This window comes from Homo sapiens, chromosome 2 (genome assembly GCF_000001405.40).
Source record: "Homo sapiens chromosome 2, GRCh38.p14 Primary Assembly".
Taxonomy (NCBI): domain Eukaryota; kingdom Metazoa; phylum Chordata; class Mammalia; order Primates; family Hominidae; genus Homo; species Homo sapiens.
The window spans coordinates 119,865,923-119,881,512 of NC_000002.12; the positions used below are offsets into that span (position 1 = coordinate 119,865,923).

A 15,590-nucleotide genomic window follows, 5' to 3' on the forward strand; every position below is an offset into this window, starting at 1 on the left:
AGCTGACGGTCTTTTCCTTTAGAATCTTCCCTGGTAATGAGTTCCAGTGCAACAAAGAAAATTACTTGAAGCTTTGACTTTTCAGAATTTCTCCTGCTTTAATTTAAAGCCTGTTTATCACAGTTTTAGCTTTTAGCATAATATCTTGTTGTAGTAGTAATAGTAAATGTATGTTGAATAAATGAGGAAAATAATATTGTGGTTATAATTCATTATGCATTATTTCTTTAATTTTATGAGCAGTCAAAGGTGGCTTTTTCTTAGTGGTCTTTATCAGCATGCTATTTAACAGAGGCTTGAGATTATATTATTCCTGTGCATTTACTGTTTCTTTCCCTATTAAATTGAATTATACTGCTCTTAAGTAGGATAGAGGGTAGATTATTAATTATTGTTGGCCTGATCTTTCTGCAGGTTCATTCTTCTGGTAGTTTTTGTTGGTTTATGATATTTGACTGGTTTACTCCTCTTTGCATAGCTCCTAACCCTGTGGTTTTCAAACTGGAGCTTGCATGAGAAACAACTGGAAGGCTTCTTAAAATACAGATTTCTGGGACCTATGCCTAGAGATTTCTGAATCAGAAGGTCTACTTTGGAACTCAAGAAATTGCCTTTCAAATAAGTTTCCTTGTATCACTAATGCTGCTAGTCCAAGGAACTATATTATGAAAATCACTACTCTAACCCAGTATGCTGTTAATTAACACTACTAAGTTATGACATATTTTTCTTGGGGTAAGTTTATTTACCCTTTGAAGATTTCTTTTATATAACTCAATTCTTACATTATTTATTTCATTAGGTTTGAGTAAATATGGGAAAAGTCACATACAGGCTGACCGTTATTTCAACAAGCCATGTTTGAATACATGGTTGCTAAAATGCTTAAATCTATTTTATATGTTTCACTATTTCTCTCTTATCTATTCATATGTTTCCACTGTAATATCTTAATTCAAGCTCTTATTTGCCTGTTGTGTAATCCTCTTTGGTAGCCTGCTAAATGCAATTTTTTGCTTCTTGTCTCGTTTAACTCTGTTGTATTTTGAGAGGGAATGGCAAAGAGACCTGGGGTGCACAGAAGTGTTTAAGAAAGAAGCAGGAGCATATGCAGAGATCAAGAGTGAAGAAACAGGAATGCTGAATTTGAAGAACTGGAAAAAAGTTTTAGTATTAAACCTTTATTTAATAAAAGGAGAAGGGGTAAAAGATGAGATTTGAGCATTACATGATATCATGAAAAGCCTTTTAATCCATGATAAAAATCAAACTTACCTATGAATTTATTTATATGACTAAACACAAGACTTGTATTTTACACATATCCCTGTGGTTATAGTGTAGCCAGCAACTAATAGACAGTTGGGAGATTGTTGGAATAAAGAAATTGCTAAGAAAGTAGTGGTTGGCTGTGGGGAATGAAGAAAAGAAGATGAGTGCTAGAGATAATTCAGTTAGGAGATAAAGTCAACAGGACTGGTTGGTTTGATTCAGATACAGTGAGTTCATGAGGAAAAGGGGTAAATCAAGGTTACTACTTCAAATTCTGCTTTTGGCAACTTGGTAAATAGAAAAAACATGCAAATAGTATTGTTGGTTTTCTTTTTTCATTTCAAATTGTTTATTTCTAGCATATAGAAATACAGTTAAGTTTGTGTATTGATTTTGTATTCTGTACCCTTCCTGAACTCACTTAATTCTAGTAGCTTTTTGTAAATTCTATAGAATTTTGTACCTAGATTATCATGTAGATATATGGTAAATTACATTGATTTTCAATTTTTAAACCAACTTTGTGTTTCTGGGATAAACCCCAAGATAACTAACTGATTGTATATTAACCTTGTATCTTGAGACCTTGCTAATACACATTACTGTTAGTAGTTGTTTTCATTGATTCCTTAGGATTTTCTGTGTAAATAATCATGTCTTTTGTAAATAGGGACAGTTTTACTTCCTCCTTACAAGTCTTTATCCTTTTTGTTTTTCTCATTTTTTAATTCATTATTGCACTGGCCGAAGCCAGCAGGGCAAAGATGAATAGAAGTGATAGGCGCAGACTACCTTGTCTTGTTCCTGATCTTAGAGGAAAATACCGAAGATACTGTTTCCCCATCAAGTATACTGTTGAGTTTTTCCCCTAAATCAATGTAACTGAGGCATAAATTACAGAGAATAAAATTCAGCAGCCATTCATAATGAAAACCCAACTAAACTTGGAAAAGAAAGGAACCTTTTTACTCTGACAAAGGACATTTAATAAATATTTAAAGATGCATCCAGGAAATGCAAAGTAAAACCACAATGAAGTAGTACTTCCTCTAGAAGTAGTATACCCACTAGTAGTATATCCAGTGAAGTAGTATATCCACTAGAATAATTAAAATTAAAAATTATTTCAATACCAAATGTTGACAAGGATGTGGAACAACTGATAAAATTGCTTGTGGTAATTTAAAATGATACAACCACTTTTTGAAAAATAGTTGGAAATTTTCTTGTAAAATTAAACATAGATTTAATATATACTGTTGGGAACAGGACCCCCCAAAATCTGGCCATAAACTGGCTCCAAAACTGGCCATAAACAAAATCTCTGCAGCACTGTGACATGTTCATGTTGGCCATAATGCCCACGTTGGAAGGTTGTGGGTTTACCGGAATGAGGGCAAGGAACACCTGGCCCACCCAGGGCGGAAAACCGCTTAAAGGCATTCTTAAGTCACAAACAATAGCATGAGTGATCTGTGCCTTAAGGACATGCTCCTGCTGCAGTTAACTAACCCAACCTATTCCTTTAATTCGGCCCATCCCTTCGTTTCCCATAAGGGATACTTTTAGTTGATTTAATATCTATAGAAACAATGCTAATGACTGGCTTGCTGTTAATAAATACGTGGGTAAATCTCTGTTCGAGGCTCTCAGCTCTGAAGGCTGTGAGACCCCTGATTTCCCACTTCACACCTCTATATTTCTGTGTGTGTGTCTTTAATTCCTCTAGCACCACTGGGTTAGGGTCTCCCCGACTGAGCTGGTCTCGGCATATACCACTGAGAAATCCCACTTTTAGCTATTTATCCAAGAGAAATGAAAACATGTCTCATAAAGCCTTGTATACAAATGTTCACAGTAGTTTTATTCATAATAGCCCAAATGTGAATTAACTTTAATGTCCATCAATAAACAAAGGGATGAAAAGTAACTGCTGTGTATCTATAGAGTAGAACACTATATGGTTCCATTTATATTAACTTACAGAACAAGCTAAACTGACACATAGTGACCAAAAGCAGATCAGTGGTTGCCTAGGATTTGGCAGACTGATTGCAAAGAAGCACAGGAAACACTTTAGGGTGATAGAAATATCTTGATTGTGGATGGTGGTGGTTACCTGGCTGTACACATTTGTCACAATTTAAACTGCATATTGCAAATGGGTGCAGTTAACCTGGCTGGACCCACAGTCTGTATTCTGTGTCCAATTTGGGAGCAGTATCTCTACTTATTTCTTAAAGGTTCAAACTCCTCTTTCTTGGGACTCTGGAGTCTAACTATACATGCATAGTTCAGCTGTCAGCCAGAGTTTGGAGCTAATCCTCTTTCTGAGTTCTCCTTTTCAGAATCTCCTCCTCAATTTTCTGTTTTTCCCCCACCCCCATTCCTAAACTCTGTCCTCTGACACCTCAAGTTAGTAAGGATGTCCTCTGCCTGTGTAGGATTTGAACTTGCCCGTAGGCAAAGATTGCTAATATATATCTCAGCCCTTGCAGTTTTTGTTTTTCAAGAGTAGACTTTCCTCCTCTTTCTGCCTACTTTTGGTTGCTTTCCAGTGTCAAATAGTACACTCATGAACACACAGAGAATAAAAATGAATGCCATCAGCAGACAAGAAATTTTCAAGATTTTTTAAAAGATCGAATGTTGACATTCAGTGTTGACAGGATTGGTGGAAGAGTCAAACCAGAGGAAAACTTACCAAAAAGGTGTTGAAGAGGAAAGATTTCTGGGTAATGTAGTACGGGTATCAAAGTGATTAACTGAGAAACTATTTGAGGCCACTTGGCCTCCTCTTTTCCCCATTTCTAATTGAACAGAGGGCAGCAGATACAGTTCCCTGCAGAATAAAGCTGTGTGTTAGGGTATGTTTGTTGGGGGAAGAACTCATTTTTCTTTAGCAATATGATTATCCACCTTGAAAGCTCAAATGAATCATTTGGAAAACTATTATAACTGGTAAGACTTAGAGCTCAACAAACATCAGTACCTTTTTATATACCATTTAGGAGACATACACCAAAAAATAGCAAATCACGTTTTTTTTAAAACCCAGATTCATTAAACATCTAGGAATAAACTTAAGCAGGAGTGTCAAGAGCCATATGAAGAAAATATAGAACTATGCAGGAAGATATAATAGAAATTATGAATAAATAGAGACACACCATGCTCATAATGAGGAATGCTCAGTATTGTAAAAGATGTCAGCACTATTTCAGTTTCATTGGTAAAACCAGTGGTATTGCTGGTTAGTATCTGAATGGAATTTTTGGGGAGAAGATTTGACAATAGGATCCTCAACTTCCTCTGGAAGAGAATCTGGATAAACTTAGCCAGATATATAAAATATAATCAACTCGTCCTAACAGGTATAAAAATGGAATATGATGACATAGTACTTAAAATAGTGTGTTCTTAGTATCGATATAAGTCAATGGGGTAGAAGAAACAGCCCAAGTATCAATTTTTGTCTATATGAAACATAGTTTATTATAATGATGGTATTCAAGATAGGTATTGGAACAATTGGTTAAAGATGAGAAAATATGTATTTAGATTCCTAACAGATACCATATATAAAAATAAATTCCAATGTAAATTTAAATGTAAAACAATAGTATAGTTGGGTAAGAGTTGGAAACATTTTTAATAATATTTGTTATGATCATCCTAGGCAACAATAGTTCCTGCATTTGTAAAGGAAATGTTGATAGATTTCACTGCATAACATACAGAGTATACACTGAGGACAAAATACCAACTGGAGGGAAATACTTGCAACATATGTAACATAATATTAAAATCTAGAAGAGCTTCTACAAATAATAAATAAAAGTCACATAACCCAATAGAAAAATGGGAAGATAGCATGAACAGAAGAAGAGTAACTATTAATAACAAACGTGACAAGATATTCAGCTTCACTGGTTAATCAGAGAGATGCCAATTACAATGATAACACTCTTTGCATACTAGATTAGCAAAAATACAGATTCACACTACCTGTTTCTGGCAAAGGCTCGGGAAATGTGCATTCTCAAGACAGTTGGTGAGAGTGTAAAGTGAAAAAGTGTTTTTGGAAGGCAGATGGCAGCATATATCAAAATTTAAAAATTATTGTATGGAAGAATTTCTCTTGCAACACTATTTTTAATAGGAAATAGTAATGGAAAAACCTGAAACCCTCATAAGAGAATAGTTGAATAAAGTATGTGACATCTGCTGGGCATGGTGGTGCATGCCTGCAGTCCCAGCTACCGGGGAGGCTGAGGCAGGAGAACCACTTGCGCTCAGGAGTTCTGGACTATAGTGCACTATGCTGATTGGGTGTCTGCACTAAGTTCAGCATCTAACATTATTAAATGCTTGTATGCAGGTGTACCACAGCATTATAAGGTATACTTGCTGGTATGTGAACAGAGGCTACCTCTTTGGATGGAAGAGTAGAATTGGAAGAGCCATAATAAAGGACTTTTATGTTTTTTTGCTCTGTATGTGTGTGAGAAAGAGAGAGAGAAAAAAAAAGCTTGAATGTTTTATATTGATACTGTTATTTTAGTAATAATTTTATTATAGAAAACAAAAGGATAAACGATCATTCATCTAAACTTGGCTATGCTTCCAAATTCCTTGGGAAACATAAAAAAATTGCTGACACCCTATGCCTACAGATTCATGGTTAGTTGGTCTATTCACCTAAATATCTGAAGAAAGTCCCTTTGCGAGTCTGATACTCATTGACTCATTCATAGTCACCCATTTGGTTAAATCACCTGATTTTATAATAAAATGATGAAAGACTTGAGAGGTGAAAGGGGAGCTGTAGTGGGAAAATATTCAGACGAGGATTTATTGAACCCCACTAGTTCTCCAGTATTGTTTTTAATTTTATTAAATTTTGTTTTAATTTTATTTAGCCATTGTTTTTGTTATTAATTTTATTTTATTTAGCGTAGTGAAAGGTAAAGTTGGGATCAAATCCAAGTTTTCCACACCTTTTCTTTCTACTGTTTTACTAAACCCTATGTTTTTTACTGGATCTAGTGACTCTCCAGAATTACTTTATTTGGGAGATGCTCTTCCTCCCAAGTTTCTAACTTAATTTCTAGTAAGAAATAGGATTGATTTATAAGAGAAACAAAAGGTTAATATCACAATGTATACAGCTACCATTAAGATGAGTAATGGCAGGTATTACAGCTAAAGATTTCTAAAAATGGATAGAAAATGGAATATTTTACAGATGAAATAGGCAGTACTTGATCTTTGCTATCTTGGGCATAAATACTTTCTCTTCCTGAAATATCTTACCTTTAACTCACATCCTTCACTCCCGTCACATCTTTTACCCTACCCCTCTTACCTTCACATTTTTTAAGACTCAGAGTAAAAGTCACTTTCCCTCTCAAGCCTTTCCTGACTACCACTACTCCCCAGGTACAGTTTACCTCTTTCTTTTTTATCTGTAGCAGTGATGATACTTTCTTGAGGTGATATGTTTCATGACTTACCAGTTTTTGAGGATAGGGACCATGTTTTGAACTTATATCACCCCAGTACCTGACACAGTGCCTTATAGAAAATAGGCTTCAAATAATGAATGAGTTAAGGGAAAAAAGTATACATCTAAAACTTGATACTGTGGAAAAGAATATAAGCTAGAATTTAATCTCCAAAGTGATACTGAAACAGATGAAGAAATAAATATATGGCTGTAATTTGTCCAAATTATATTTTCTTTAAGACCAAGGCTATTTACAATAGGAACCCTGAACAGTTTGGAGTTAAATTACTTTATTGATTGATTGAAACAAGGTCTTGCTCTGTCACCCAGACTGGAGTGCAGTGTGCAGTGGTGCGATCATGGCTTACAGCAGCCTCAGCCTCTCAGACTGAACCTCAACCTCCTAGCCTCCCGAGTAACCAGGACTATAGGCATGCACTACCACATCTGGCTAATTTTTTCTGGGTTTTTTTTTTTTGTTGTTGTTGTTGTTTTTTTTGTAGAGACGTGGTCTTGCCATGTATCTTTCCCCTAATTTGCAGAAAGATACAGATATGCAAATAGAAGAAGCTCACTGAACTCCAAGTACAATGAAAATGGTCGAAAGAGTTTTGAAAGCAGCAAGAGAAAGAGAAAAGTGACTTGTCACATAGAAGTGCACCTCAATGAAATAACCAGTGGATTTCTTAGTAGAAACCATGCAGATCTCAAATGTAGAAATTTTATTACTACGTTTTGGCAGATACAAAAATTAACTTTGTCATGTGAAGCAGTATATAGAGTAAACAAGAGATTCTTCCCAGGGAAAAGAATGGGAAATTGGCTTTGAAAAGATTAGAAACCATGAGTCATCAGGTAACCGATTAGCAATGTCTAATCGCTTTGAAAGGTTTGAAAAGATTAGAAACAGAGCTCCATCCCTAAGTAGACACTCCTTCATGAATGGGGTTGATGATGTAGTACCGTCTCTTGTTAGCTATCAGTGTTAACTAGATAGTTATAGTTTCTAATAAAATATTATGACATTTAAAATTCATATATATTGTATTGCAGACAGTTCAGCTTTTCTCAGATGTAGCACAGTAATCCAGCTAGTACAGCAGTTCTTGGCAAAGAAAATGCAGTCTGTAACTAAATATAGGTAGTGATATAACCCCAATGCTCATTTATATAAGAACAAAATTAAGGGTTTATCATATGTGATTTCAAGATGTATTAAAACAGTTACTTTAAGCAGTTCCACTCCCAGATATATATTGAAGAGACTTGAAAATGTATGTCCACACAAAAATTTATACACAGATGTTCATAGCAACATTATTCATAATAACTAAAATATGGGAACAATCCAAATGTCCATCAAGTGATGACTAGATAAACCAAATATGGTATAGCTATACAATGAAATATTCAGCAATAAAAAGGAATGGCATACCACAGCACACTCATTGGGATGGCTATAATTTTTTAAAGATAGTGTTGATGAGGAAGTGAAGAAATGGAAATCTTTATACATTGATATTGGAGATGTAAAAGGTACAGCCATTGTGGAAACAAGTTTGGCAGTTTCTCAAAAAGTTAAATATACAATTATCCTGTGACCCAACAATACTACTCCTAGGCATGTACCCAAGAGAATTGAAGACATGTGTTCACACAAAAATGTGTACACAAATGTTCATAGCAGTATTATTCATAATAGTCGAAAAGTAGACACAACCCAGTATCAGCCATAAAAAGGAATGAGTTATTGTTACATGCCACAATGTAGATGAACCAAGAAAACCTTGTCTGTGAAAGCAGACAAACACAAAAGGCAACCTGTTGTATGATTCCATTCTTACGAAATGTTCAAAACAGGTAAATTTGTAGAGACAGAATGTAGGTTAGTGATTGTTAGGGGCAACAGGGAAGGGTACATTGAGACTGACTGCGAATAGGTACAAGATTACCTTTGAGGGTGATGGAAATATTCTGGAATTAGATAGTGATGATGGTTGCACACCGTAGGGAATATACTAAAGTATAATGACACATACATGTTAAAATGGTAAATTTTGTGGTGCGTGAAATATGTCTCACTAAAAATAATAAAAATAATGCTGAGTCTTGGCATATGCATTTTATAATTTGATAAATTTTGCCAAGTTATCCTCCATTGAGATGGTACAATTTATACTTTCAGAAGCTATGTATGAGAGTGCCTGTTCTTCTCACGTGTGTGTCATCAAACGTTTTAGTCTTTGCCCAATATTACTGTTGAAAAATAATAACCCAATGTAGATTACTTTTGTATTTCTCTAATTATGATCAAGATTGACTATCTTGTCATATACTTAAATGCCATTTGTAGTTCCTTGATTGTGAACTTGCATTCTTATTCATTGCCTGTTTTTCTATTAGTGTCAGTTTTTTCTTATTGATGTGTAGAACTTGTTTATATATTATGTTTTTTCCTAGTTTGTTTTGCAACTTGATGGATTTTTACAATGAATGCTATTTTTACCATTCAGTAGTGCTTGTTATAGCACTGTTCCATCTTCCTGGTTTAAACCAAGAACCTTAACCCTATCTCACTGATATCATTGATGAGAGCAATTAAATTTCTCAGTGCTTATCTTTGTACTTCTAAGCTATGTCAGCTTGACACATCTGTGTATGTAAATGTGTTTGTATTTCTTTTACCAGAATATTTTGAAGGAGAACTGAATGAGGAAGACAAGCTTTCAATAGATTAATTGATCTGAAATTTTGATTGTAGACAGTCATTAAAGTGGATATAATTTATGACTTTTCCTAGAAGATATGAAGAACAAAAATCACTAGATTAATAGATAGATGGATGGGAAGGTGGATAAATGGTAGATGATTGAGGAAAGAAGTTTATTAAACAGGGCTGAAAACCCTACCCCCAGCTATTGAGTCATTCAGCAGGTTTAGTCCTTCAGTAAATTATTTATTTATTTATTTACTTATTTACTTTGCTTACTTTCTTATTTTGAGACAGGGGATTACAGGTGTGTGCCACTGCTTTTGACAGTATTTTTAACTCATATTATGTCAAGCCCTGTGCTAGGTGCTGACTCTACAGTATTGACTGAAACAGCTTTTATCCCTGGTTTCATTATAATCTAATGAAGGAGTCAGACAAAAAAAGACAAAAGGTGAAACAAACTTAATTGAGGTAATGTAATGAAGGGATATAATGTTCCTTACTTGTTAAATGGGAGCTGTACGACATACTTTTGGTAGGGTGGTCAGTTGAAGGCCTTTCTGAGGTGGCAGGCTTTAAGCTGAGACTTACGGATAATGAAGAGTACTGTAGGAAATCTAGAGGGCATTCTGTGAAAGGGAAGCTTGAAATTGAGGGCCTTATGATGGCATCTTTCAGAAACAGAAAGGAGGCCATTATGGCTGGAATTTAGTAAGCTGAGGTGGAAGAGGTAAGAAGAGACCATACAAGCTGTAGTGTAAGGACTTTGGATCTAGTACTGAGAAATTATCAAGAAGTGTTAATCAAATGAGTGACATACTCAAAGTTATGTTTTAGGACTATTCTTGCTTCTTTATGGAGCATGAAGAGGGACATGGTGATGAGAAAATCAACTGGGAGAGCAATTAAGAGGCGATAGAGCTTAGACTAGAGAGATAAGGATGATAAATTGATAAATTCTAGATACAGTTTGCAGATAGACTCAGTTGGATTTGATGTGTTGGATGTTATGGACAGTGGAGAGGAAATCATTGTTAATTACTCCCAGCCATTTATTTATTATTAAAAATCTATGTGTTCTGCCTGGATTTAATTATGGGTGGTAGAAGTTAGGTTTATAAATAATGATACATAAACTTACTTGGAAAATACTACCACATCTAGTACCTCATTTTGGGTTCTTTGATTTTTTTTTAATTGAAACATGTTAGCAGTTGAAGTTTTTCTGAATTCAGTCCTAATTGTCCAGAAATAGAGCTAAACTGGCCTTCAGAAGTATTGAAACTGCTTAAAATTTCTCACACATAAAAATCAATCATTCTCAAAACTAAACATTATATCTTTAAAAATTGGTGGGTTTTTTTCAAATGGGAGGTATTTTATTTTTAAAGGAATGAGGCAAATGTTATAAAATTTCTCCTCAGTGGATTTTCAAGTTCTGTAGTAGAATTTTGCCTGAATGAGTATAAAGCCCAAGAGCATGTGTGTGTGTGTGTGTGTGTGTGTGTGTGTGTGTGTGTGTGTGCGTGAAGGGTGAAGAGAATTTTGAAAACTTGCCAGACTTTTAAGAAATATAGTTAGATTAATGTGAATCACTTCACATTCACTTCAGGTTGCTGCAATTATTAACTATCTTTACTTATGAAATAGAGGTTGTTGCACATTGTACTGTTTGATGGAAAAGTCAAATCAAAATCTTAATATTAACACATTCACTAATTTCTAGCATAATTTTATTACATTTGATATGAAAAATATTGTCTGTAATGCAATGATTTTTTTCCTACCTGGGCCTTTTCTGAAATGCAGCTTTTAGCATTAATCTCCAAATGGAACAGATTTGCAAGAATCAATATAGTAGTTCCTCAAGGAAAAAAGAAATCAGTTTTATTTATTTATTTTTCAGAGGTGGCTGGATCCAAACAAACCAATAAGGAAGCAGCTAAAGAGTGAGCATACATATTTACTTAATGTTTTGCAAGTTTACTTTATAAAGATAAAGGATTAATATAGTCTGATTAATTAGAACTACTTTTATTAATTCTAGGAGGATCTCCTTACAGTTTGAACTTTAGAGTCAAATTTTTTGTAAGTGACCCCAACAAGTTACAAGAAGAATATACAAGGTGGGTTTATGGATATATTTTTCTTGAAAATATTGTCAAAACTCTAATATGAAATTTTGAAATTAATTAGGCAAAAAGAAATTACTGTGGTGTAATTCTGAGCTTTCCAGTCAGTACACAGAATAAGTTATGGCTATTCCAAGATAACGTTTTCCTCCTTTTTTGGATGGCTGGGAGAGTGTAAGGGGATTTAGAACCTCAGGGCTGCCCAGTCCAGCCCCAGCTTCCTGAACCATGTAAATATTAAAAATTTCTACTTGTGAACACTGCTTAAGTGTGGCTATAATTAATTGAGGTCATCAAATGTGCTGAAATTGTATCCAAAGGATGCTGTGTGGTGAGAAATTTGGGTTTTTTTTTTCCCATGTGAAAGCATATTCTAGTATCTTTTTTTATTGGGGAGAACATAGAATTTATAAAATATATAACCATTATTTGCGGGTCAGTAGGTACCTTTTGTCCCCTATGTGTTTTTAATCTTTGGTTCCAAAAAAATATAATGGAGTTTATAAAGGATGTTGCAGAGAGTGCACTAGCATGTTGAGGCCTTTACATGCCCACTTGACTCTCCATTTTAAGTCTCAGCTTATGTTACTATCTAATTTTATGGTCATTTCGACTTGACAGAGTATATACACATGAATGATCCAGATGAACATTTTGATAATGTTCTTGATTATAGGGTGAAATATTGAAGGTAGAAATGGAGAAATACCAACAGTGTAGTAACTGTCAGTATTAACCTGAATGACAACCTTGTGTGTTGCCTGAAAGACAGAATTAGTAATGAGTTATTTTACAAAGACAGTTAAAAATTAGCATGTTATACTCTCTGTAAAATTCTCAGATATAAGAATATAGGCCAGTGACTACATTCAGAATTACTCTAAAAGATAGGTGTCAAAATTAAAAAATCCATACCTAAAATTACCTATAGATGGGATGTTAAATTTTAATGTATTGGTTATCATTTAGGATACTGTCTTGGAGTAGAGAAACAAAAGGATAAATTATTTAATTAGCTGCAGCTGCCAGTTCTAAGGTGTTTGCAGAGTTTTCAGTAGTAAACCAAGTGAGAAAAATTAGATTGAAATTCTAGAGATTTCTTTTCAGTCAGTGTGTTTTGGGGTGGGTGCGCAGGTGTTCCTTTTTTTTTTTTTTTTTTTAACAAATGGGAGAACTCAGTAATGTAGTCTCTGGATTATGTAATCCTAATGCTTGCAACTATTAGTAGAATCCAAGCTAATTCCTCTTGAAAAACTAAGTTGTGGCCGGGTGCAGTGGCTCACGCCTGTAATCCCAGCACTTTGGGAGGCCAAGGTGGGCGGATCACGAGGTCAGGAGATCAAGAACATCCTGGCTAACACGGTGAAACCCCATCTCTACTAAAAATACAAAAAATTAGCCGGGTGTGGTGGCAGGCGCCTGTAGTCCCAGCTACTGGGGAGGCTGAGGCAGGAGAATGGCATGAACCCGGGAGGCAGAGCTGGCAGTGAGCCGAGATCACGCCACTGCACTCCAGCCTGGGCGACAGAGTGAGACTCCGTCTGAAAAAAAAAAAAAACAAAAATGAAAAACAAAGTCGTGTTATATGTATACACCTTAGCTTAATATTGTAGCCCTTAAAATATTGTCAGTTAAAACTATGTTTATAATGTACTTCACTTGAAAAACTGTCTTTGAATTTCTGAATGGAGGTAGAATGTGTTGATTCTTTTATAGCCTGCATTGAAAACATAATAAGGAAATAAATATGTTTCACTAATAAGTTGAAATAACTGCCTGAAGCAGAAGAAAGTAAAATCAAGTTTGATGGTAGTCAAGGAATTAATTTGCTCTCAGACCCTTTTATAATGGAATGTTATGGAATCTTATAACTGGTATTGTTTGGTAAAATGGGGTAAATGTCTAGTTTTTTGTAAATTTTACTACCATAGTGTATATCAGTGATTTTTCTACTCTGATTAGAAATTAGAATCATTTGGGGGAGCTTTAAAACCATAATGATGTCTTGGCCACATCCCTAGATAATTCTGATTGAACAGGTCTTAGATGGGACCTGAGCATAGGCATGCACAAGTTCCCCCAAATGATTCTAATATATAGCCAAGGCTACATATTAGCCAAAGCTTTAATGCTTGAGTAGCCTTAATGTGATGGTTATGATTAGTAACAGTGCACCTTCTGCCACAGCTGCTAAGTTTTCAGAACTAGTTTAGACCCCAGGAAACAGGAAATCTGCTGCACCTCCTTACCTTGAGATTTCAAGAATGTAAATAGTATATTCCCAATATGCAGATGAATCTGCTCAGTAATTCTTTCTCAGTTTTTAGCTATATGAAAGTTGACTCTGTTTGGTAGTGAGCCAAGAGGAGAAAATAAACTCTATGTAATACTAAATTAATTTTTAAAATATCCCTTTAACTAATGAATTAGTTTAGTTTAATTAGTGAAAAATATTCCTTTAATTTTGAAATTATGGGGGGGTGGGGGGCGGGAAAGAATGGAGTCAAACAGGTTCACCAGGTTAAACACCGTTTACTTTTAGCAGGTGCTAGCATCATTAGAACTGAATTTTTCCAATTCCTGAGATACATATACTAGGCAAGTTGATACTACTTTCTTCTTACAAATGTAGAAACTAAGGCTCAGCCACATTTTAACTAATTTGCCCAAGATCACAGGCTAGTTTTGCCTAGGACTTGAATTCTGGTTTCTACTTTTAACAGTTAAGTTCTTGCCTCTTGGTTAAATGAGTATGTAAGTAAAATTTGGCAAGTATAGGCATTATTTATGTCAGATTTACAATATTATGGCAAGGATATGCATGACCTTTAAATCCTGACTATAAGATTGTTTCTTACCAGGAACCTTTAACTTTGAATTTTTTTTTTTTTCTTTTTTTGAGATAGAGTCTCACTCTGTCGCCTAGGCTGGAGTGCAGTGGCGCGATCTCGGCTCATTGCAAGCTCTGCCTCCCAGGTTCACGCCATTCTCCTGCCTTGGCCTCCCGAGTAGCTGGGACTACAGGTGCCTGCCATCACGCCTGGCTAATTTTTTTTTTTTTGTATTTTTAGTAGAGATGGGGTTTCACCGTGTTAGCCAGGAAGGATGGTCTCGATCTCCTGACCTTGTGATCTGCCCGCCTCGGCCTCCCAGATAACTTTGAATTATTAAACCAAAACAGGCCTGATAGAAATATACTGTCTTGGATTGAGTAAATAGATTATATTTATAATATTATGCACTAAGCCTCACAAGAAGTTATATATGAAGCCAGGATGTTTGTATTCTTTTTTTTTGTAATGAATATCTGATTCTCTGAAAACCTCTTTGGTAATTTGAATATTGTCATGGAGCTCTTCAGTGACTTAATCAGCCAAACTAGAATTTCTAATGACTTTTGACTCTTGGAATATGTACTTTTTTTAGTTTAGTGAAATAAAAAATCTTAAGATTTCCTGGTTAAACATTTAAAACCAAAAAGTTTGGTCTTCTGCCACCCCTATACAACACAGGTGACTTTGCCCAAGTATTGACAAATCTTTGAGTGGGTTACCCACTAGCAGAGACCAAAGGACAATGCTATCTTGTAAGCAATGACAGCAGGCTTGTTAAAGAAAACCTAAGTTTTTGTTGGTTTCACAGGAAATTGAATACTTGACAATTCTAACAATAGTAGACAAAAGTATTCTTCCCCTGCCCCGCCAATCAAAGAGAGACTTCCTTAATTCACATGGAAGTGTATAGGTGCTTTTCTGTAACAGGCAGCTTCCTGCCATCTGATGATAAAATGATCAAAACGCTGGCCTGTCCTTGTAGCTGGCTTTCTATCTCAGACCAGCGAAAATCATCGCTGGTCTCTAGTGCATTGCTTACAATGCTCTTCCATGTTTGTGATACTCAGGTTTTCTATGCTTCCCACTTCTTTCTGCATATACCAACCCTCAAGAGTATTTCTCCCTCTGTC

The 15,590-nt window shown here is 35.2% G+C and overlaps 1 protein-coding gene across 1 annotated transcript in view; it reads left to right on the forward strand.

The window, feature by feature from the left end:
* Positions 1 to 15,590, forward strand: part of PTPN4 (protein tyrosine phosphatase non-receptor type 4) — a 224,978-nt gene that overhangs the window by 106,001 nt on the left and 103,387 nt on the right. Inside the window, exons 4-5 of the mRNA NM_002830.4 lie at positions 11,401 to 11,443; positions 11,542 to 11,620. Of these exons, the coding sequence (NP_002821.1) occupies positions 11,401 to 11,443; positions 11,542 to 11,620 (122 nt within the window). The remainder of the gene's footprint in view (positions 1 to 11,400; positions 11,444 to 11,541; positions 11,621 to 15,590) is intronic.